This window comes from Homo sapiens, chromosome 7 (genome assembly GCF_000001405.40).
Source record: "Homo sapiens chromosome 7, GRCh38.p14 Primary Assembly".
In the NCBI taxonomy this organism is placed as follows: Eukaryota; Metazoa; Chordata; class Mammalia; order Primates; family Hominidae; genus Homo; species Homo sapiens.
In genome coordinates, this window is record NC_000007.14 from 137,069,005 (window position 1) to 137,094,856 (window position 25,852).

The following is a 25,852-nucleotide window of genomic DNA, read 5'->3' on the forward strand; positions in this document are numbered from 1 at the left end:
TAGAATATTGAGTTTTCTCATTCAGAGATATTTATTTTATTACATGCAAACAAGTCATCTTTTGTATTTTGTACTATTTTGAGTATTGATGCATAAATGAATTCTCAAATTTCTGCCAAGTTAATTTATAGGCATTTTATAAATTTTTTTTGCTATGACAAGTGGTATGTTTTCCATTACATTTTCTGTATCGGTACCTTACCTCACACACAGATTTGTGATAAAAACAGAGAAGATCCACAAGGGTATAGCTGCAAATAACCCTGCTGTTTTGTTGCTCCTTGAGCAAACTAGCGTTAAAGTTGACCTGCCCAGGTATAGTGCAGATCTGGTCTAGATTAGTTTTGAGGTCCAAAGTGGCTCCATCCTGCTGTGCTTCTGGAGGAGTTTTCAGGCACAGATGATTTAGTAGCCTGGTTGTGATAATGTCAAACATTTCACAATTGGCTTAGAGTTCAGATTGCAAAAGTAGCCACCGAGATAACACGAGCTTCCCATTAAAGGACAATTGAAAGGTGCTCTGAGCTTTTCTACCAAGTAACTTTCATTTTTGCAGACTATTCTCTAGGTGGCCTGGCACCGACCTAGGTCTCTCACCTTTGCCTGCTTATAGTTCTCAAGAATAACTGTAGAATGTGCTGGGAATGCAACAACCTGAAATGGGATTGGGAGAGGGGGTTGGCTGAAACAGCCTAGGCCCTGTTCCAGTTCCTTCTGGAAACAAGATGTCCTTCGAGGCTTCAGTCCAACATGTCACGTGATCCCAAGATATAAAACCCAGAATGGGCTGCTTTTGTGGGTCCCTCAGTAGGTGCAAGGAAGGCATGGGTAATTGTGACTCCATCCATCCTGGGGAGTTTTTCTGAGCCTTAGGGGATTAGCTAGCAGTTAATCCTAGGCTTCAGTTGTTCCTTGCTGCGTATCTGTAAGTAACAAACCCGCTTCATGTAACTTGTTGTAGGCATGGGTGTTCGGTCTCACCAGATTCAGACAAATTGGTAACTAGTGCACAGAGAACCTGCTTCACACACTTAGCTTAGTGTGGAAAATTATAGCTCTACAAACTCACATACTCTGTTTTTTATCCTTCTGTGCAACCTTTGAAGCAAAGTGGTATAGTGTGTCCAAAGGAAATTACTACTTAGGGGAATATGCAAAATCATTGAACTTTATTCTTTAATATTTATTAAAATGATTAAATTTAATGTCAGTAGGCTTTATTAAAAAACAAAAAAAATTGAAAAAGCTCTTAGAGGTAAATAATACCAAGTAACAATTTCTCACTAGTCCCAAACTGTAAATACTCCTAATTTTCTTTTTCCTTGAAAATTTCAAAAAAGGGAATATTGAGCTTATTTTCTTGCTTTTTTTACTTAAATCTGGGAACTAAAAGCCCCTAAATATTGGTTTTATCAATTTCTCTCTTTGTTTAAATGTCTCTGTGGCTAATGTACACGGAAGACCACTAGGATTCTGAAGTTGTAGATGTTCCAGTACAAAGATCCTCAGTGTATAAAAGCCTTGAGTTTTATTGCATCGAGATTCTGTATAAATAATTTCCACTTTCTGGAAGATAGTCCTGGCAGGAAATCTATTTTGTGTGAATATCTAAATCATAATCTTCTTTCTAATCTCTTGTCTGAAATAGATCTATTTAAGCTTCCTATTTCTACCTGGATCAATTTGGTAAACGATATTTTCTTAGGAAAGTGTTATTTCCTTTCAGTTTTCATAACTGTTGCAACAGAGTTGCATATAGTATCTTATTAGCAATTAGACATACAACTTCCGTATATAAGGCTATGTATCTTTTCTTATTACTAAGAGCCAATATTTTGATGCCTTCTATTTTTGGTTAGACTTGTTAGAATCTAAACAATGAAGGGCTCCCTTGCCAGAGGAGAAATACTAGACATCTCGGAGGATCAGATCACTAGGTGTTAGAGAAAAATGAGTCAGTCTACACGCTTTTTAGGGGGTATAAGAATTCTCTACACTGCCGAATTGTTATTCATATGGCACAGCCCAAAAAGATGTTCACAGACATGTCCTCCTCCCATATTCCTGTATGTGGGAAATGAGGCAGTCAGAAGCAGGAATGAAACCTGCCAAATACTGAATGAAAACAAATAATGATGCAACGAGGAATCCACTGTATAGAAAGGCCAATATGAATAAGGTTGAACTAGAAAGACTAAATAGGTCTATAACTTTAAGCATGTGTCTAAAGGCCATAAGCATTGAAATCTGAAATGCTGAACCCCGCGCAGCCCCAGATGCTCCTGTGCCCCATCACTGTGATTCCCTGATAGACAAGTACTAGGAGGAAGAAAAGCTAATCCCAAGGCACCTTCAGGCCAGGCAGGAAACTTTCTAAACCAGTGTCACTATCCCGACAATGCAGCACATCTAAATAAGGAGGAAAGAGGAGAGGGAGAAGAAAAAGAGAGAGAGTGCAAAATTATTAAAGACTGGGTAGAAGAATGGAGAGCCACATGAAATACAGAAGAAATTTTAAAAGTGTAAAAAATACTACATGCAAGCTTCTTGGCAAATAGGCTGTAAACTAAAGGAAATGAATAATTTCTTAGCTATATATATATGTCACATATATATATATATACGTCACATATATATATATATATATGTACACATACACATATATTTCTAAATCTGACTCAAAATGAAGCAAGAGGCTGGGCATGGTGGCTCACACCTGTAATCTCAGCATTTTGAGAGGCCAAGGCTGGTGAATCACCTGAGGTCAGGAGTTCAAGACCAGCCTAGCCAACATGGTGAAACACTGTCTCTACTAAAAATACAAAAATTAGCCAGGGGTGGTTGTGTGGCCTGTAATCCCAGCTATGGGGAGGCTGAGGCAGGATAATCACTTCAACCCAGGAAGCAGAGGTTGTAGTGAGCTGAGAGATTGCACCACTGCACTCCAGCCTGGGCGACAGAGCAAGACTATGTCTAAAAAAAAAAAAAAAAAAGATGAAGCAAGAAAACAAAAAGATATTAATACCATAGAAGGTTTATGAGACATAGATATCTAACAAGGAAGCATCACAAATAAAGGGCTCCACAACTAAGCTATTGGTAATCAGATAATTCTAATAAAATAGACAATAGGAAAAGATGACAATCTTTATTAATTTATTTTATGAGGGCATCACATTTTTAATTAAAACTTGATAAAGATGGTATAAAGTGTTTTTCAGAAAAATCTTATTTACAAATACATATGCATACAATCTACTTATGATATTAGCAGAAAGAATTCAGCACAAATCAAAATTATAATAAGACACAAACCACAAAGAGTACCAACTTGAAAAATGATAGTGAATTTCAAAAATTCAAAAAAAATACATGTGTAAAAAATTAATATATCAGTAGAAGTTAAGGAATTTTATAGACAGCATAAAATAAAATTTTTCATAAAAATGAAATTCTCAGGTGGGTTGATCATTGCTTTATATATTTTGAAGCTATACTATTAGATGGATATGTTAATATTCATTTTTAATGAATACAATTATTTTCTGATTGCTCTGTGAACTAACATACAACATCTCTTTTGTCACATAAGATATTTGCTGAATTAAATCTTTATTTTGTCAGAGATCAATATTGCGACTTCAGATTGTTAGAGTAGGTCTTATTTCTTACTTCATTCAATTGATTTTATTTCCTTATTCTTATTCTCCACTGGATAGATAAGATTTTCTTCCACCACTGTCATATAACACAATCTTTGTATCTGCTATGGACCAAATTTTATTCCCCCCCCCAAATTTATATGTGACGCTCTAACCCTGTATTTGGATAACAGGGTCTTCAGGACCATAATTGTACACTGTGACTGTATTTGGAGATAGGGTCTTTAGGGGATAATTAAGGTTAAATGAAGTCATAAGGGAGGGTCCCTAATTGATAGGATTGGTGGCTTATAAGGAGAGGAAGATCTCTCTGTCTTGCTGTCTCTGTCTGTCTCCTCACTCCTGCCCCCCGCATCCCCCCACCGAGCCCCCTACCACACACACACACACACACACACACACACACACACACACACCACTGGGGAAAGGCCATGTGAGACATAGCAAGAAGGCAGCTATCTGCAAACCAGAAAGAGAGCCCTCACCAGAGTCTGGCTATGCTGGCATCCTCATCTCAGACCTCCAGCCCCCAGAAGTGTGAGAAAATAAATTTCTGTTGCTCAAGCCACCCACTCTGTGGTATTTTGTTATATTGACTTAAGGTGACTAATACAATGTCTTTCTCCCACTCCTCCCACTTCCTATACTCTCCCACTTCCTATACTTCACTGAGGAAAGTGTTGGATTTCAGCTGAAATAAAATGGACAAAAGGACAGATTCAGGAAGCATTTCCCATGAATCTCTTACATTCTGGCACTGTTGCCATTACTGAGCCCCCTGCCAGATTGCTTACTTTCTACTGTAGTGATGCTGAAATGGTGTCTGGTATTTTTCTTCTTTTGTATGGCCTCAAACTGATATGTCTCCCCTGACATCAATGTTACTATGCCAGGCTGACTTTGGAGTAGAATTGTGTCTGTGGCAAGCTAGAAGTCAGCACATCATGGAGATTCTCTTTGCCCTAAGCTGGGAGCCAGCTTGAGAAATGATCTGAGAAAGACTTGAGGACAGAGGACTCATGCAGGCAGCTAAGGTTCAATGAGGTAATGCCTCATTCTGTCCCAAGACCTGTGGGTTTCAGTGAACTCCTCAGTTCAATCTGGGTCCCTCAGGAAATGCCAGACAATACATGTGGGCCTCATTTTACCAACATAAAAGGAGAGGAGGACAAATCCATGGAGTGTTATGCTTACTCCCATCTGACACAGGAAGCATTGGGTAAAAGAAGCACATGAATGTGAAGGGGCGGAAAATGTATTTTCTTCAAAGGCCTTTCCACTTAACACAATGGCCATACCTAATCATTTCTGAATGTTTATTAAATGGTAATATTTGTTCTCAAAAACACTAATTAGAGAGCTAAACTACACACATGCAAAATGGCCTATGAGTCATTGATTGGTATTTCTACAGAAAACTTCAGTTTTTATCTGTTTACAAATCAACTAAAGCATGAGGTTACAACTACTTTTGACTTTCGCAAGTTTTTTGGGTCAAAAATAGTTTTTCAGGTAGTGAGTATTGGGCTGCCATCATACAACTTTAGCTGTCTATGACAAGGGGCAATCATATGCAAACAAGTGAGAAGAGAATACGAAAGATTGTAAAGCATTTTGTTTGTTTGTTTGTTTTCTTCTCCTGTTTGTTTTCTTGATGAAAATTAAGAAATTATAAATCATCATTGTGATTTTTTGCAAATATGCTATTTGTGGTAGATCTGAAATTTAAAAAAAATTAGAAGTCTTCTATTTACTTTCAAGGTTAAGAGCAACATCATTCCACTGTGTAGTTTATATGTTCCTAATAAAGAAAGAATTCTTGAGAGATAAAGTGTTGCTGGTGGCTCATAGCTTATAAATGTTACAGATTTTGATGTCTGAGTCATTAAAACAAAGTTTACTTTACTCATTTTTTTAAATTCAGTATTTACTTCATACTAGATAAGATTATCCAGTAGAAATTCAGCAAATGGTCGCAAATGACTCCTCAATTTCTCTTTATTAGACATCAGATGATAAGTACTGTGTACATACCCTGGGGCCACCTTTATGCCATCTAAACCCCAGCAAAGAAGGATGGAAAGAGTCAAAAGAGGAAGAGAGAGTGGCAATGGTACCAAGACTAGCTTTCATTCTTTTCGTTCTTGCCAGGGATTACAATGTCACAAGCCTGGGGCAGGATCTTAATTGGAAGTATGAAGCTAAGGATTATAGAAAGTATGTGACATTTGTGCCTTGTACATTTCTATAAACATCTTTGGAGCCCCTTAGGGAAATGAGACTGGGAGGTTTTTCTTTATTTTTCTAGAATCTTTGGTTCTGGAGGGCTAAGAAAGATCAAGGCAAAGATCCTGGAGTCAGAGTTCAAGCTGCTTACCACTGGTTCTAAACTCAAGGCAATAGGGCATATTGACCCTTCCAATCATCGTCCATATTTCCCAGAACAGGTGAACTGAAGAATATTGGAGAGTGTGGCCGATCTTATAAGTTCCTCTCAAGAAATCAAGACTGGAATACAAGGTATTCACACCCTAACAGGCCTGCTAAGTACTCAGGAATAGATGAGATGTGCAAGGCCCAGGAGTCTGGACTCTCACCGGTAAGAATAAGCTTCTTCTCCTCCTAAAATGACTAAATGCAAAGAGATGATAGGGTAGGGTCCTCACAACAACTGATGGTGACAGTTGAATTAGTGAAAGGGCATTTCTAATGGCATATTTCTGAGAAAGAGGGCAGGAGTAGAGAATTATTGTTCAGTCAATTATCCGTAGCACCCTAGGCCATGCTGGCAAATACAGGAATTGCATTTATTATACAATTAATTAAAAACATCACTTTTGCCTTTTTTAAATGATTATAGATTCAGAAAAGAATATAAGTGAACTGCCTTCCCCTTCACTCACCAAGCATGGATGGGGAAAAATGAAGTTACTTTGAAGAGACACCATATATTCAATGAAATTAAAAACAATAATAATCCCCATCACATATGGAATGTTGACCTTTCTTGGATAAAATTTGCTTCAATTAGACAATGAAATGAATTTTTTGTATGAATGAGCTGATACCCGACATTATTTAGTATTTGTCTGTGTGAACTCGAGCCCCAAGCTAAAGTAACAATCAACTCTCTAACTGTCCTTCACTAAATAACACCTTCTTCTAAGCAATAAAATAAACTGATTATTTATTTTAAATATTTGTTAAGTTTAAATTCCCTTATATTCATGATCAATACTTTTTAAAAATTAGGAAGCTCTAGCTCCAATGCCAATGTTGTGATTTTATGGTGTTCTGTTTACATACGTTAAGCAGTCTGAATATTACATTCAGAATACATTTTAGTTGTATTTCAACAGGGTCTTGGACTTACCTTAAAACAAAGGTAGTTTGGGGCTCAAATTAAAAGTTATTACTTTTTACACTTATTTTCTTATAAGGCAACAAACATAAACTTAATTATATGATACTGTTAGAGCCAAAGCTTTGGATCTAGTAGTATTTTAAAAGAAACTAAAAGATCAAAAAGAAGCTCATAAGAACTATGTAACTGAAGAGTTAAAAAACATTCTACCTAAATGTCTCAGCAATTTCTGAGTTTCTTCAAGCTAGTTTTCCTCAAAGAGTAAATCTGTTTCAAAGTTGTGAGGTTCTGGAGGAAATGATCATTCACTCTAATGGAAATTTACTACCTTCCTGAGAGTTCGGAATTCTTCTTAGAGAGAGAGAGAGAGAGAAAAGGCATCTTATTCAGCTAGAAGGAAGGTGATAGCTTCCTGGAATGATCGGAATATCAAAAATCAATGCCTAGATTCAAATCAAGGACCTTGGACTCAAGCCAAGACAAGGTAGGACTACTAAATAAATAAATAAATAAATAAATAAATAAATGGAAAGGATAAGAGCAAAGAAGACACTTAGAAGTCAATGTAGGGCACCTCATGTGTACATTGCAGTTACCAGAGGAGACTTCTCTTCCTGAAGGGGAGTGTACTGCTCCCTGGTTCTGCTGGTGAGAGAGTGCTGGTCAAAGAACAGGTTCTGTTCCAGTGGAAGAGAATCAAATAGACAAAGAAACTAGCACAGAACACCTAATATAAAAGGAAATTATTTCCCCCATCTGATGGTACAGCCAAGTCTGTTTCTCTCATGTCTACCAGTGGGCATCAGGCAATTCTGCTATCTTTGCCAACAAACATTTCTTTACATCCTGAATCTAAAAGCAAGAGTTTTAAGCCTCTTTCTTGCACCTTTATTTATAATCTCCATGAACAGTCTCACTTAAATGAATTGCACCCACATCTGAATCCTTTAGATAATCATATCATAAGACTGGCTTTCATCTGTCCAATTATGCCTTGTTATTTCTATTACCTGAAACTTCCGGCACAATACCTGAAGATCCACTTGTGAAAAGATCCATTTGCAAAAAGCCAAACCCTACACAAAGGTTCAGATCTAGTAGTGTTTTAAACAAACATAAAGGATCAAAAAGAAGTTCATGATATACCAACTATATAATTGAAGAGTTAGGAAAAAAACAGTTCTACCCAAATGTCTGACTTGTTGAGAGCCTAACCCTACACAAAACAGATCAGATGAAACCAAGAAGTGCCCTTCAAGGTGTTGCTAAATATAGTTACACTCTATAAGACTGTGCATTCCTGGTTCAAAATACAATTTTCTTCCCTGACTTATGTATGTTTCTCTTTGACTTACTCTTCTCTCAGCCAAGTATTTGGTATGCTGTGACATCTTTTTACTTCCCAAAGAATAAGCTTTAAAAGTGAAGTATTTATACAAAGTAGATGACAATAAGTTCGTAAGTTTATACTGTCAAACCTGTTTTTACCCTAACACCCCATCCCACTCCTGGTTTTATGCTTGATAAGTCTACTTGATAATTTACGATTAATAAAATTACTCATTGCCACTCTTATCAAAGCATGTGTCTTCCTGTAAAAAGACTTCAAAGAGAAGAAAAAGCTGCTAGTAAAAGCAGGAATAATAAGATTTGGGGTATGGATCCATGAATATTAATATTAATATCAATATTCTAGATGCCTTCATTAATTGAATTAGAACAGGAAAACTCTCTTCTATATGAATGCTCACAATAAGCATCTATTTAATCCTACATATATTTGAGATGTACATATATATGGAGAGAGTGAGGGGCCGTCATGGTGAAAGAGGTTGGACAGCACTGAAGTTTTCATTATTTACAAATTTTCATTCGTAATACATTTTCATTATTAATACTTTTATTAATTTCTTATTGCCATTGTTGTTATTACTGCTCACCTGACTTTAATCTTTCAATTTGGTCTCACCAAAAGAGCAAGCAGCTGAACAGGCTTTCAACATTAACTGCCCTCAAGGTATCTCAACCTGTGAAACTAGCCCTGTTCCTCCAGGAGTCCAAGAAGAGAGATACGAGTGGGACGCTAACAGTACTCCAAGAAAGATTGAGGGGCTTCTACAGCAAAAAATGTATTTGTCTGGATTCTCAGAATGTAGCAAAGGAGATTGAAGGCAGTAGAGCAGCCCTGCATCTAACAAGAGCCCTAAGATGTAGAGTGGAAATCGTTGGTCTTAAGACAGTTCCTCAGATTACCCCACAACCAATATGATGTTGAGAGTGCAATCAAGAGTCTGTATATATTCCTAGGACCCACCCAAAACCATGAAATCAGAATCACTGGAAATATATGTTTCTTAACAAAGTACAATAAGAGAGTCTTATGATCCATCCAAACTGAAAAAGGAAACCAGGCAGATTTGGTTGACTCTTGTTTTCCTGTTTCTATTCCCCTGAACAGATGAAGATCAAGAGGCATTCCCTACAACCTCAACAGAAACTCTTATTATTAAAGAAGACCACTCTACATGTGTGCATGCGCACACACACACACATACATACCCCACTAAGAATTAGAAGAACCTCCATTACCCCCATCAATTGCCTTCACTCTACATGTAGACAACATGTGAGAAGCAAAAGAGAGAACCATGAGATCACAGTCCTTAGGACATGTCCAGTGCTTGTGCTAAGACATTAATTCTCTTCCTTTCAAATAAGGAAATGGAGGGGTCTTTTCCCTTCCCCAAACCAAAGAAAAGAGATTTCAAAAATATCACTTGTCAAGACTACAAGTGCAAGACTACACGACTCAATTGCCAGTTGCTAAGAGGGCCTGGGACATTCTGCCAGTGTTGAGATCTATGAGGAAGAAATGGTGCTATAGGTTCAGCCAGATAGAGATCTCCCACAGGATGTGAGAGAACTGTGCAGCGTTCCATGCAAGTTTCAGCATGTTGACACTTGCTTCCTAAGACCATGAAGTGGCACTCAGTGTCAGGCAGAGGGATGGGAACTATGAGAAATCATGCAAGTGGCATCACTTCTCCACTCTTGCCAATCACAACCCTCAACACTAGAGGAGTTATACATTGATATAGGAAGATAATCTGGGTTCCAAGACAGAGCAAACCTCCTTGAGCCCTGCCTTCCTGCCCTTTCCCCTCCCAGGGATTGAAGGAGAGTGAAAGAGCATCCTGCCCACTCCAAGTATCTCAAGCCAAGGCCTACCTGGTACTAGTGGGAGAAAGGAAGATGACATTTAAGTGGGAGTGTGAAAGGTGTTTTAAACTGAATTTACATTAATTGAAACTGGCAGGAAAAGCCACAGAAGCTGCCAGTGGGTTGTTAAGGATAGAAAAAAAGTATTCGTTAAAATAAGTTTAAAAAAAAAGAGGAAAAATATAAAGAATACTTTTTCATATTAGTATCCTTGCTCAATATCCTGGTTACACACATAATATAGTCAGACATGACTATTCCTACCACATGTGAGTAAGGTACCAGTTCCAGATTCTCCAGTTACATAGAAATATTTAGGTCTGTAGCCCCAGATACTCAGGAGGCTGAGGCTGGAGGATCACTTGAACCCAGGAGGTTGAGGCTACAGTGAGCTGTGATCTTGCCACTGCACTCCAGCATAGGTGACAGAGCAACACCCTGTCTTAAGAAAAAGAAAAAAATATTTAGGTTACATACAAAGATGATTCAAAATAAGACTTACCTACAAGAAAGTTTGGATAATGTATCTGTAGCACAAAAATCAAGAATTTTGGAGGGAGTTGGTTTACATGCAATTCTGAATTTTTGTTTTGAAACAGGGTCTTTCTGCTGCCCAGGCTAGAGTGCAGTGGCAAGATTATGGCTCACTGCAGCCTCAACTTCCCAGGCTCTAGAAATCATCTCACTTTAGCCTCCAGAGCAACTGGGATTACAGGTGTGTGCCACCACGACAAAATATGCTTTTCTTTTCTTTGTTTTGTTTTTTGTTTTGTTTCGAGACAGGGTCTCACTCTGTGGCCCAGACTGGAGTGCAATGGCACCATCGCGGCACACCGCAACCTCTGCTTCCTAGGCTCAAGTGATTCTCCTGCCTCAGTCTCCTGAGTAGCTGAGATTACAGGCATAAGCCACCACACCTGACCAAGTTTTTCTTTTTTACATTTTTTGTAGAGATGGGGGTCTCACTATGTTGACCAGGCTGGACTCAAACTTCTGGGATTAAGTGATCCCCCCACCTAGACCTCCCAAAGTACTGGGACTATAGGCATGAGCCACATATCCAAATTTGTTAAACTGATAAATTCATCAGAATTTGTGAATTCTGATAAATTCACAAATTCTGATATACATTTATAAATTCTGATTAATTTTATTAGATTTAGCATATAATCGTACCATTAAGTATGTGGTTAAACTTAGCCTATGATCTTACCATTAAGTATGTGGTTAAAAAAACTATTATGGGCTAAAATCATGTTAAATGGAAAAATTTAGATATTTAGAGAGTTTATGTAACTCTAATCCTTACAAAAAGCAAATAATGTTGATGCAGCCGTTAAAAAGCAATGCAATCTTAGGCCAGGCCAATAAAAGTAGTTTGTAATTTCAACACAGGATTCATAGTCCCACTGCAGCCCAAACTAAGTGATCCCTCCCTGGGTAATCACATTTTAGGACAATCACGAACAGGTTGATTCTATCAACAGTAGAGTGACCAGACTAGTGAAGATTCTGAAGGCAATACCACATGTTGAGCAGATGAGGAAAACTCATGGGTTTAACTTAGGATCATAGTAGGACAATCATAACAGCTCTTTCATTGATTTGAAGGGTTGTCATATAGTAGAAAGGAAGTGCTGTCTTTTAATGCTCCAAAAAACAAGAACACAAAAAAAAGAAGTTAGCAAGGATGGCTGTAGGGTTGAACAAGCCTTCTTCCCCACAGTGGTGGTGGCAGTGGGCGTGTGCTAAGTTTCTCACGGCTGGGGTTTCCCAGCAAAGGCTCGCTGACCATCTGTCAGAGATGCAGCAGAAAGACTTCCTGCACCAGGTGGGAGAATCCAGTACATGATCCCCAGGTTTCCTGCCAGCTCTAAAAGCCTATGTTTCTAATTGGACCACATACACATGGCCTCCCTTCACCTTTCTCTCCCATAAATATGAAAAAATTCTTTTAGAACAATGTAAAGGTGGAACTTTGTTTCTATGTTAACACAAAAGGGAAAACGAAAACAGAGCATGATTCTCAAGGTGATCCAATCTATGATGGCATTATTCATGCGGTTGTGCTCCTTCACAGATTTTATTTTCCCCTTTTTCTTTCCTTTTCTTTATTCTTTGCTTGCCTTTTTTTTTATGGAGGAGGAGGAGGAGGAAAAGAAGACTGATCTGGAAATTGCAAGCTTCTATGATTACATGCATAGAAATCATATTTTGGTACACCACAAAATAGTGTCATGACTTTCTTTGTATATAAGTATTTCCATCAAAGTTAGTACGATAGATGGCATGTTTTGATTATTAGTGATTTTATATTTATTTGTATTCATGTGCCTCCATTGCTAAGGACATGTCTAGACCACTTTCAAAGTCTAGAACCTGGAATTCCTCAGTGCAACCTGTTTGGTTAAATGAATTGCAAATCAGCTTTATAAAACATATGTTTTTTTTCTTATTAGTATGTAAAAGTCTACAGATGCCTTAAAACATTTCATTCATGCCTAAATTGGCAGGAATTTTTTTATTCCTTTTGGTTAATACCCTTCTCCCTGGGGTTCATGCAGAACTAATGCCAAACTTACTCAATGTGGTTAGCTTATGTTTGTGCAACAAGCTTATCATCCACGATGAACACATGGCTTTTAGGCACAGAAATTAATCAGTGCTGGAGAGACACAGTGCTGGCATGGATTCCAGGCTGTCTGCTTGCATAAGCCTGCACTTGGGATCTATTACACAAAGCAGGATCCAGGATTACAGAGCACAGAATCCCAATCATAGATCTTTGCCAGCCTCAAACTTTGCAGAAAATGTCTAACTGTTTTTGGGGAAAAGAGTGAGAAATATGGGTGGATAGTTAAAATTGGGTTAGTAATATGCCTTTTATAGAGGGCTCATGTGAGATTCAAATAGAATATTACATGCAAAACACTTTAATAATGTATGCCTTTCTTCATTTAAAAAAAGGACTTGAAGTAGTTTACAGTGACACATAAATATGGCAAGGTACCATAAATTTGAAATAGATAAAGAAGAAAAAAGCACAGAGCCATTTAAGGTAGCCAAGAATGAGGCTAATGTAAGTCTTGCGTCCTTGTTCTTGCTTTTTGGCAAAATCAGATTTGATCATTTTATCAGTCAATATATGAAGATTTCAAATCAGTTCCATAGTGCCAATGTCCATATGATTAAATTGCTCAAGAGATGGACAGGTATTCCCTAGATTATGGTAGTAGGAAGTTTATTTTGTGAGTCTTCCAAAATAGAACACTGTCTATTACAGTGAACAACATATCCTTCTCAACAACTTAGTAACATTTTCAGAGCCCAACTATGCCATATTGTGATACATTCAAAGCCATCCTGGAAGATTCAATAATCCACACAAGGTTCACAGCTCTCTGCTGATTTGTCTTCATCCAGAATGGCAAGTACAAGGAATAATGAACTGGTTGCTGTGAAAGCATTTTATAAATTGCAGAACAGTATGTAAATGCAAGGCATAATAATTTTCATTATCCTCTTGACTTTGAAAGCCAGGTGGTGAACTTGACACTTAAGTAATCCCCAACAGGAAACCTAAAATACTAACAACAAAGAAGACGACTATAAGAAATCTTATCTTCCTTTTGTTTCTGTTTTGCTGGTTAACGCTTTTCCTTTCAAATAGGTATGACAGTTGCACATTAGTATCTAAACTGGGAGATCAATCAGTGATTGTTCAATTTGTGGAAAAGTAATTGTGGATTTTGCCATCCTTTTTTTTTTTTTTTTTTCTGAGACAGAGTTTTTCTCTTATTGCCCAGACTGGAGTGCAATGGCGTGATCTCGGCTCACCACAAACTCCACCTCCCAGGTTCAAGCAATTCTCCTGCCTCAGCCTCCCGAGTAGCTGGGATTACAGGCATGAGCCACCACGCCTGGCTAATTTTTTATTTTTAGTAGAGATAGGGTTAATTCCATGTTGTCAGGCTGGTCTTGAACTCCTGACCTAAGGTGATCCACCTGCCTCGGCCTCCCAAAGTGCTGGGATTACAGGCATGAGCCACCACTCCTGGCCGGATTTTGCCATTACTTTTAATGGCAAAACCACGATTATTTTTGCACCAACCAAATACAAACATCCTCTAAGGTAATGACTCTCTGAACTTACTGGATTTCCTGCCTATCGTAGACAGGCAGATTCTCATAGTAGGGAGAGATGATTTACTCATGCAACAAAAACACAACATGAAAAATCTAAAATATCAAATAATTTAAAATGTTATTTGCATATTTGAATGTGGGTATATGTAATATTTTAGAAAGCACCAGTAATTCAAACCAAAGACAGATACTGCGTAATGACATAAAAACTGACCTCTGCTATCAAAGTCTTTTGTTACAACTTCCTACTGAAAATGGTCTTTGTTACATTGAGTTTAACCCAAAATACATCTATCTGGCTCCAGTATCTTCCCTCTCTAAAGATACTATCTATTTTGCTCTCCCATTTATGAGGGGCAGAACAGAAGAGTTTTGTTTTGACACTTTTAGTTTATTAATAGTTTAGTTTTAAATTTAAAGTAACCGCCTTAAAAAATAAATAAAATAACTTTCTTGATTCCTGAATAGACAGAGAAACAAGAAATGTTTCTTAATTATTGATTAAATATTCTTCAGTCTCTACTATGAACCACAATTTCTTGTCATCACAGAAAACAATAATATTAAAAATAATGAAAACAATTTTGGACAGTTTACTCAGCCAGGCACCATGCTAAGTTCTTTATATGCATTACCTCATACTATCATCATGGCAGCCCTATGAAACTACCTGGGATCATTTCCATTTCACATATAAAAAATTAATTCCCAGAGACACTAAATAACTTTCCCAAGGCTACAAAGCTAGTTAGCTGCAAAGTTAGCAGTGCAGGTATATTGTGATTCGGGAGTCCAAGTTTTGAACTACAACAATATAGAGGTTTATTGCTTCCTGGCATAAACCCAGGAACAAATAGAGAGGCACAATGCATAAGTGGTAGGACATGAAGAAACAGAGGGGTAAAAGTATTTTGAGGCAGGACAGCAATTCCAGTATTCTTGGATTATAAAAGGATTTCGTGAAGGAAATTTCAGCCAAGTCCCAAAGAAGATACAAGACTTACTCTTCTGAAACAGCAGTGAGGAAGAAGGAAAGGGTATCCCAGATAGAGCAAACAGCATATTTCTACCATGCCTATAGACTAGATCTAAATTCAGCATAAAATACAGTACAGACAGTGGTAATGTGAAAAAGAGAAGCTAAACATTTCATTGTCTGTAAAGAAATTTAATGCATCATAAACATAATCATTGAAAACAAAACATAAGTCCACTAGTGAGAAAAATAAGAGGACATTTGATTATACTGAGATCTGGAGGCATAAATCATATTTAATTATTGTTCTCTTCTAGGATGTATATTACACATTGCTCTATTCTCCAGAGAGCTTAAAGGGCCTTCAAGGACTTTCTCACCTCCATCAGCTTATCCCCCAGTTTTATTTAGTAGTCTTATCCACTGACACTTGAAATATTGTTCTAATTAAAGCATCGGCTCTTTAGGGGTGCTGTGAAATTTCTCCTGGAAACACGCCCTCTTGTCTTTCTCATCATGAAACCAGGAAAAAGCTTGACGGACTCATCAAGTTTTGGGTCTCTTTAAAGCCTCTAGCAATTCATACCATAATCTTTCCTATGAATGATTGTCAGATATGGGATTATAAATCACCATGCTAGACCTAAAGGTTAGCTTTTTCAGCATTTTTTATGCTTTTCAAAATTTCCATAAGAAAATAAATGCTGAAGGATCAGCAAGCTAAACAGCTTGGACACCCACTGCTGCCACACAGGCGTGTGAAATGCCTCCATCTGACTCAGAATTAGAGATGTAAAATTGTCATCCAGCTCTGGAGTTGGAACTTGGCATTAAAAGTATTTATAACGTGTGTGAGTAGAAACTGTGGGCTTGGAAAATCACTGCTGGAAAACTGGAATTCTTAAAAGAAATTCTAACAAGCTAAAAGGGTTCTGGGCAGAATATGTAAATATGGAGGAAATAGTCCATCTGCTGGGATATCTCCCAATTACCTAAATATAGTAATAGCTATATTAGTCAAGAATGAATAATACCTTGTATGCTTATTTACACAGAAAAAGAATTCTATGTTTTATCTCGTGCTATTTTACACTGTTGAAATGCAATTCTTACTTTTCCTCTTATCAGTTGCCACCCTTTTATATTGACATATACCACAAATTAATTTATTCATTTAAGAAATATTTGTGACTACCATGAAGCAGGCAAACTCCTTAAAAGGGTGAGTACAATTTTGAAAATTGTGAAGACCCTAGAGTGGGACAGATATTGGTATATTCAAGAACACTGAAAAGAATCCCATGTCATTGTTTCTGCTTTAGTATTGGAAAGATTGTCATGAAATAAGGCCAATGAAGAGCAGAGCTAGATCTTAACAGCTGAATTCCTGTGTGGCTATCCTTACCTTTCAGGCATGTAACCCTTGAGACAAAATATAACCTGTTAATTAAGATAAAAATGTTTAAAGATTTTTTTAAGCTAAAAGTGAGAAGTTCTATCAAAATCCTGGTTGTTTTACATATACTTTTCCAATCAATTACATTTCAGATTTTGATTTACATTTAGAATGAATGTAATTTTGAAAATAAATAGTCATCTTTGCATGGTATAAGAGAGATGGCTATTCCTGTCATGGTGAGTTAGATCAAACATCACTAGGATTTTCAATTCAATATTTGAAGAACAATATACAGTGGCTAATTTTTTTTCCTTGGCAGTCAAACTTTTATATGGCCAAATAAGGTAATTTAAAATAAAACAGCCAATTACCACTTCTATCATTTCATAAAATGAAGGATAATTTTACAACAAGATTGGGAATGGTATTTGTATTAGTCAATTCTCATGCTGCTATAAAGAACTGCCTGAGACTGGGTAAATTATAAAGGAAAGAGGTTTAATTGACTCACAGTTCTGCAGGGCTGGGGAGGCCTCAGGAAACTTACAATCATGGCAGAGGGGGAAAGCAAACATGTCCTTCTTCATATGGTGGCAGGAAGGTGAAGAATGAGAGCAGAGCAAAAGGGGAAGCCCCTTATAAACCATCAGCTCTTGTGAAAACTTACTCTCAAGAGACTAATTGGGGAAGCCACCCCCATGATTCAGTTACTTCCCACTGGGTCCCTTTCACCACATGTGGGAATTATGGGAACTAAAATTCAAGATGAGATTTGGGTGGGGACACATCCAAACCATATCAGTATTATTTCAGAATTTTTAAAGTATTAAACTTAAATTTATAAGTTTAAAATTATAAACTTAGTTTTATAAAAAATGAATTAAATATCCTTATTGTTTCAATTTCCCTTGAAAGCCTTGATATCTTCTTCACTGACCAACAGACCAGTATTTAGTAGTCATTAACATATATGACAAACTATAAGAATTCTGACATGGAATTGATGAGTTACATATCCTAAATTCTGACAGGTAACTCTCAGTACCAAGAGGTCACATAAAATCCTAATAATGAGTCAAGGGGTCAGTTCCTGAAGTGAACCTGTCCTCACATGCTCTGAGAACTGAGAGAGGCTTGCTTCACTGGCATAGTGGTAGGGCTGTAAGGAGCCTGCAGGAGGATACAGATTGTGAAGTTAACCTGGAAAAATACCACCTACAATGAGTATACTTTAAGAACACTGGAACCAAAACTAGGTGCTTGCTGTGAAATGCATGGAATGTAGCAGGTGGGAGGAATCCTAACAGTTGCTGAGACTAGTGCAGGGCAGTGGTTCATAAGTGGTCCAGAGCAAAGGGGCCTAATGGATTTACGCAAATGACTCCGCATGTCTGTGGTTTTCTCTATTTCTGAGTTTAATCGCTGCTACCACACATATCATGACTCCAACATTGTAATTAACTATTATGCAGCCTGCATTCTTGAAGGGAAGTATTCATACTAGATGAGTATATCTTCCAGGTCAAGGAAGAAGCTGACAAAAGTTAGGACTCATAACTTTTATGAGGTTACACTCAATGAGAATATATGCTGCATTTCTATAATTTCTCAAATTTCTTATACTCAAATCTCCCTGTGTCTGCACAGGAATTAAAGCTTTGAACATCAATGTAGTCAGTATGTATTCAGTGGCTCTTTTCTCTGAAGACCAAAGAATGTCCTCTGTCAATTTTCTTTCTTTTTTCCCTTGAAGTTCTATTGTTTGGATATCTTACCTAGATTCTATAAATGTCTTATTTTTGCCCTTATTTTTCTTTACTTTGTCTTTTTGTTGCATTCTGTTGAAGAGTTTTACATCTAAAATATATAAATATTCCATTGAATTATAAAAATCTGCCATAAGATTTTTGTCTAAAATCTTTAAAAAAATACTTTTGTGGGCTATTATGGTTCCCACTAGCCATACGTGGCTACTGAGCATTGAAATGTGATTAGGCCAAATTCAGGTATACTGTTAAGTATAAGTACAGTACACAACAATTTTGAAGACTTAATATAAAGATTTATTTCAATATTCTTTTCTTTTCATTGTGTTTTTGTTTCATGAATCTAATGATTTTTGTTTTTATTGTGTCTCTTTGAATGTCTATGGTAGTTTTGTACCGTCAACTAACCTAAGTTGGAATTATGTTACCTGGAATTTGCATCCCTCTATTGTTCTAGGCCAGAGTGGGTCAGTGTACAGCATCAAGTGCAACTGTAGATCATATATGTTGCTACTTATCTGCTGTCATGACACTATTATATAATATTTATTTAAAAGGGTCAATATGGCTGAGTACAGTGGATTACACCTGTAATTCCAGCAATTTGGGAGGTCAAGGCCGGCAGATCACTTGAAATCAGGAGTTTGAAACCAGCCTGGGAAACATGGCGAAACCACATCTCTACTAAAAATACAAAAATTAGCCAGCCATGGTGGCACATGCCTGTAATCCCAGCTACTCAGGAGGCTGAGGCATTGCTTGAACTCTGGAGTGGGAGATTGCAGTGAGCCAAGATCACACCACTGCACTCCAGCCTGGGCAACAGAGTGAGAATTTGTCTCAAAATAATAATAATAGTAATAAATAAAATAAAGATAAATAAAAAGATCAATATAAAGGAGGGTGAGGGAGAAATACCCAGGATGACCACAGACACTAAAAGTAGGAGGACAACAGAATAAGGACCACACAAAAAAGGCTTTATGAGATGAAGGGATAAAGCCTAAGAGGAAATTGGTACCATGTGAAATAAAACATCCTGAATAGTGAAAATTGCATAATATACATATTTGGGATTTAAAAAAAATGACTTCTGAATTTAACCTAACTTGGGGGAAATACAGATTTCATAGTCAAATTAGGGGTTAAAAAATGTTACTTGGATTGGATTTTTAAAAAAATACTTTTCTTCATTTGGAAATTTTCTTGAATCCTACCATATTTCTGAAGTTAGCCTGCTTTTCAGCTTTGTAAGATGATCATTACATGCCTTCCTTTTTCTAACCAAATTTCTTCAAATATCTTACCATGCTGCACTCATAGCATTCACCTGATAACCCAACTTTCAGCTGACAATTCTGTCCTACTTTTCATTAAGTAATTAAAATTTAGTAGAAAAAAAATGGTTCTCATCTTCCAACCACTCAAGATAGAGATACAAATGTATCTTTGCCCATCTTCTGTGTATGCCAGATAAACCCTCAAGCTTTTCTGAAGAATTCATGAAGAAACAAAATTGCTTCCTTTCGACCTTCAAGATACCCTACCACAGCTGGCTTTTTTCCTAGCTACAAATTTATAACAACAAAATTCACTGTTCCAAACTTTCTCTCCCCTCTTTCCACTTTCTCTTAGTAGTCTGTTTTTGTCTTTGTTTATTGACAGCAGCTAAATCTTCTTCATAAATGTAGATAAATTATTACCATGGTACAACTAACTCAATATTTCTGAATTGCCTTTTGATAATTCATTTCTAGAGTTGTCACTGAATCATTATTGGACTGAGTTCTACAATTGTAGCCAATAAAATTGTGTACTCTAAAGTCTAAATTGTACACTTTGAGAGAATCAATTTATCTTAGTTCCTCTGGTAAGTCTCATTTGTAGTAGGAATTCAATACTTCAACTCCAACATGCTAAATAGATACTTTCAGTTAATGTTTGTTTCTGGTTATAATGATGATTTGTGCATAGCTGATTTTTGTTCTTACATATTGCAAAAGTGAAGTAATCTGTCCTTTGATTTTTTAGTTTGATTATCTAGAGATTTCTGCAGACAACAGGGGTTTGGTCTCTGTCAGGTGACAGATATTAGGAATTTGAGTTTGTAAAAATGTAGTCTCTGTGTTAGCTTGATGTTTCTGATACTTTTGAAATTTGGGAGTGAGAAGTCATTAGTATTTTGTCCTTCCATTCATAAACAGACTCTGTGTTTGTTTTTGCTGTGTTTGCACCAATGTGGATTCCTCTAATTTTAAAGATCAGAGACCCCTTTTTTCCCTTCTCAAACTAAGATTTTTTTAAAAAAAAGTTTTTTCATTATGGCCATAATAGTTTTTAATATGTACAAAAATAAAATTTCAAGATCAAAGATGATATTCTTTTTCAATGACTTTTTTTAAGGAACTTTTTTTATGGTTATAAATCAAAAGTGTTACATCTAAGTGGAGCCTTAGAGTAGAAATGAAAAATAATTCCCAGAATGAAAAGAAATTACCTGTCCTTGATTGGAACACAGAAGTCTAAAAAACAGAATAATTCTATATTAAAGTTTCTTGAGACATTTTATTAAAGCTGTATGAAGAAAACAGAAATTTATATCATCAAATTAAAATTTTTTAAAATTAGGGATTTTAATAGACATAATTTTTTGAAAATCAACAGCTTTATTGAGGTATAATAGACATATAATAAGCTACACGTATTTAAGGTGTATAATTTGATGTTTTGGTATAGGTATACATCCGTGAAATCATCACCACAATTAAGATACTGAATCTATCCATCATCTGCACAAGTTTCCTTGTACCACTTGGTAATTACACCATCCCTCCAAAGCAGATAACCCTTGATCTGCTTTCTGCCATTGTACATTAAGTGGCATTTTCTAAACTTTATATAAATAAAAACCTACAGTATGTATTGATCTTTGTATAGCTTCTTGCACTTTACATAATCACCTTACGTTTTTATTATGTTATAATGTATAGCAATAGTTCATTTTTATTTCTGAGTACTATTGCACCGTACGGACTAGGACTGTCTGTTTATCCATTCACATGTTGATGGGCATTTGCATTATTTCTAGTATTGGCTGATACAAGTAAAGCCACTAGGAACATTCATGTGCAAATCTTTTTCTCTTGGTAAATACATAGGAAGGGAAACGTTGGATCATATGGTAGGTGTATGTTTAACTTTTTTAGAAACTGACAAATCATTTTGCAAAATGGTTGTATCATTTTATATTCCCACAAGCAGTCTGTGGGAGTTCCAAGTTCACTACTTCCTTGCCAACACTGCGTATGGTCAGTTTTTAATTTCAGACATTTTTAGTTATAAGATATCCACTTAGTTTTTAAAAATGTACCTTCTAGTTTCTTGCTGAGACTTTCTCTTTTTTCTTCATCTGTCTCAAATATGTTCATAACTGCTTGTTGAAATATTATTGTGACAGCGCTTTAAAATCCCCATTAGACAAATCTAACATCTGTCATTTCAGTGTCGGTACCTGTTGATTATCTTTTCTCATTAGAGATTGTCCCGATTCTTGGAATAATAAACAATTTCAATTAATACCATCATTTTGGGTAGGATGTTGTAAGACTCTGGTTTTATTAAATGTTCTGTTTCAGGATGGCTCCTGTAACATTGCTTCCACAGTTGAAGGAAGGGGTCACAACCTCATTACTTCCAGGTAGGAATGGAAGTCCAGTTCTCTCCTCAGTAACAAGAAGCCCCTCCTCTTTAGGTGCCAATGGAGGCTGGCATATAAGAGGGAGAGGCTCCTTGTTACTGCTGGGTGGGTGTAGGAGTTCAGGCTCCACTCTAGACTTCCACTGACACCAATCTGCCTAGGAAGGTATACCTTATTACTATTCCCACCTGGCCTCCTCCTAAACTATGGTGATGTCCTTATTACTGCTGAGAAGTACTGAAAGTCTTGATGCTCTACTAGGCCTCCTCTGATAACCCTCCTACAGGGAAGGGGAAAAACTCCTCATTACTCCCAGATAGGGTGAGAGTCCAGCCTCCTCGTATGGTCTCTGCTGACCCCTCTTGGGGAATGTGGCTTGTTACTGCTGAGTGGGGCATAAGTATTCACTATCCACTAGGTCTCCTCTGACACCCACTGATAAGGAGAATGAAGTGCCTTTTACTGCTGGGTGCAGGTGGAAAGTTCAGGCTCCTCACCACATGATCTTTACAAACACAGCGGAGAGGCAGAGAAATGGCATTTTTTACTACCAGTCAGGGTTACTGGAGGTAAAAAGAAAACCTAAGAAATTCCACAGGTTCCAACGTCTTTATCTGGGTTGCCTATTTATCTCCAACTTTCAGAATCATTATGCTTGTTTTATACAAGTGTGTCTATGGTTTTAGCTATACATAATGCAAGGAATAGGGAAAATTATGCCTACTCCATCTTCCTGAAAGTGGAAGTCTATTTTTGAGTCTTGAGGACTTTTTCTATATCTTGAATAAAAGTCCATTATCAATTGTATGATTGCAAATATTTTCTTCCAGTTTGTGAATGTACTTCTTATTCTCTTAACAGTGTCCTTTGAAGGGTAGCAGTGTTTATATTGTATGAAGTTCACTAAATTTGCTCTTTTACATGGTGGGCTTTGGAAGTTATGTCTAACAAAGTGTTTTCTAATTCAAATAAAGTTTTTTTTCCTGTTCTTTGTTTATACGTTTTATTGTTTTAGATTTTACATGTAGGTCCATGATCCAATTTGAGTTGATTTTTGTATATAGTAAGTGGTATAAATAAGAGTTAATTTTTTACGAGTATCCAATTATTCTGGCAACATTTGTTGAAAAGAATATTCTTTTTTACTGAGTTATCTTGACATCTTTGTGCTTCCATATATTTCTTCGCTCTCTATTTTGTTCCATTTTTCTATTTGCACCAATAACACATGGTCTTGTTGACTAAAGCTTAAGTCTTTAAATCACATAATGTTAGTCCTCCAATTGGTTCTAATTTTTCAGTTTTTAAAAATATTCTAGGTCTTTTACATTTCCATGTAATTTTAGAATGTTTGTTAATGTCTACCAAAGAAAAAAAAGCCTGCTAATTTGTTGGTTGGTATTGTACTGAGTCTATAGATCAATGTGGAGATAATTTATATGTAAATAATAATTGAATCCTCTGACTCATGAACACAGTATATCTCTCCATTTTGTAAGATCTTCCCTAATATCTCTCAGCAGTGTGTTGTAGTGTTCTGTATACAGGTCTTTCATATCTTTTGTTTGATTAGCTCTTTTGTCATATATTTGCTGTTATTTTGAAAGTTATTTTATATTCAATTTCTAATTTTTTTGACATTATGTATAAATGCTATTGATTTTATTGTATTAAATTTATATCCTGTATCCTTGCTAAACTTATTAGTTGTAGTAGATTTCTTTTGTATATTCCATGAGACTTCTCTGTAAACAATCATGTAAAAAGAGCCACAATGGCCAACTAGGCATAGCCAAGAAGAGCATCTCCCACTGAGAGACCAGAGCATCAAGAAGACTGGCATTCCAAGCAGATCTTCAGAAGGAAGAGTAGACAGAGGGAGGGATAAAGGGGGAGGAAGCTGAGAACCCTGCACCAGGACTCATTCCTGGAATCCAGCAGCTCCTGAAGAAGTGATGAGTTAAATAGGCAAGGAGTGATCAAGTCTCACTATGGACCTCCAGAATCCTAGCTGCAGGAGACCCAGTAACCCCAATGGATGTATGAGCTGACAAGAAGAGCTGCCTAGAGAGGTGGAAGGAACAGGACTCCAGCCTGTGTGGAGCACAGAGACTTTGGTGCAGGAACAGCTGCAGTGGAGCACAGCCAGGGACACCCATCCCACAAGGCTTGCCACGTTTCTCCAAGTGGTTTTAGCTTTTGTTGACTGTCAGACCCGGACAAAGCCAAGCTGTCTTGCCTGTATTCTAGGGCCAGTCTGATTTGAGCTCCCTCATCTGCTAGCCTCTCCCGGAGTCCCTGTGTGGCCACACTTGCTTGCAGCACAGCTTCTGATGCCCAACTGGAGCATTTCCTTGCAGCCACCGCCATAGCTCTTTTGCCAGTATACCCCACCTAACTGTTGGAGAGCTTCAAAAGATGGGCCCCCACTGATGCACACCCACCCACAGCCTCCCACCACCACTTTGCTGGTGCCCACTTGCCAACAGCCTCCCCATACCGCTTTGCTTGTGTGCATAGACCTCACTGCCCTGCGATCACCAGTACACAAGTATGACACTGCCATGCCACCACCCCACTGCCACCAGCACATGCACACGTGTGGATGTCACCACCTCACCCTCATTGGTGTGTGTGCACCCCACTGCCCTGCCACCACCAGCATGACTGCAGACCCACCATGTTGCCATCCTGCCACCAAGCACGCACGTAAAGGCAGGCCCCATTGCCACTGCCCTGACCAAAGTGCTTTTGCTGGCACTCACCACTGGAGTATTATTGCCAGGAGACCCGGAACACCTCTACCTCTCTAGCACAGCAGGTGCTTAATCTTAAAGTGCCAGAGAACAAAGCCATGGGTATTGTTCCAGCCGTCCAGTGTTACAACCTGCAGCTCAGGAGTGCTAAGCTGAGTCTTGGCCCCATGAAATTATTCATTAATAAAGCCAGGTGACAGAACCCAAATTACACCACAGTCAAAGCCTCAAGAGGATCAGATAATATAAAAGCAAAAGGCCCCATCCAAAGGACAGCAATGTCAAACACTAGAGGAACATTAGCCCACAAAGATGAGAAAGAAGCAGTGCAAGAACTCTGGCAATTCAAAAAACCAGAGTGTCTCCTTACCTCCAAATGACCACACAATCTCACCTGCAATGGTTGTTAACCAGATTTAAATGACTGAAATGACAGACAAAGAATTCAGAATCTGAATAGCAATGAAGATCATTGAGATTTGGCGGAAAGTTGAAACCCAATCCAAGGAAGCTAAGGAATCCAATTAAACAATACAAGAGCTGAAAGGCAAAATAGCCACTTAAAGAAAAAAAAAAAAACCAACCTATCTAATAGAGCTGAAAAAATCACTAAACAAGAATTTCATAATACAACTGGAAGTACTAACAGCAGAATAGACCGAACTGAGGTAGGAACCTCAGAGCTCAAAGACTAGTTCTTTGAATCAACTCAGACAAAAATAAAGAAAAAAAAATGACCAAAACCTCCAAGAAATATGGGATTATGTAAAGAGATCAAACCTATGACTCCTTGGTGTCTGTGAAAGAGAAGGAGAGAGAACAAGTGACACAGAAAACAGATTTGAAGATACTGTCCATGAAAATTAT

The 25,852-nt window shown here is 37.3% G+C and overlaps 1 long non-coding RNA gene across 1 annotated transcript in view, besides 2 other annotated features; it reads right to left on the bottom strand.

Moving 5' to 3' along the window:
• Positions 1–25,852, bottom strand: part of LOC349160 (uncharacterized) — a 265,569-nt gene that overhangs the window by 170,232 nt on the left and 69,485 nt on the right. The gene's annotated exons all lie outside the window — the stretch shown is intronic.
• Positions 11,970–12,162: a silencer, noted in NCBI's record as "fragment chr7:136765721-136765913 (GRCh37/hg19 assembly coordinates)". NCBI's record gives its function as "represses an EF-1alpha promoter that drives an FKBP-Casp9 reporter gene in an ReSE screen in K562 erythroleukemia cells {active_cell/tissue: K562}" and the evidence as "EXISTENCE:reporter gene assay evidence [ECO:0000049][PMID:32094911]".
• Positions 24,347–24,847: an enhancer, noted in NCBI's record as "H3K4me1 hESC enhancer chr7:136778098-136778598 (GRCh37/hg19 assembly coordinates)". NCBI's record gives its function as "activates a minimal SCP1, AML or CMV promoter by ChIP-STARR-seq in naive H9 embryonic stem cells {active_cell/tissue: H9 hESC(naive)}" and the evidence as "EXISTENCE:reporter gene assay evidence [ECO:0000049][PMID:30033119]".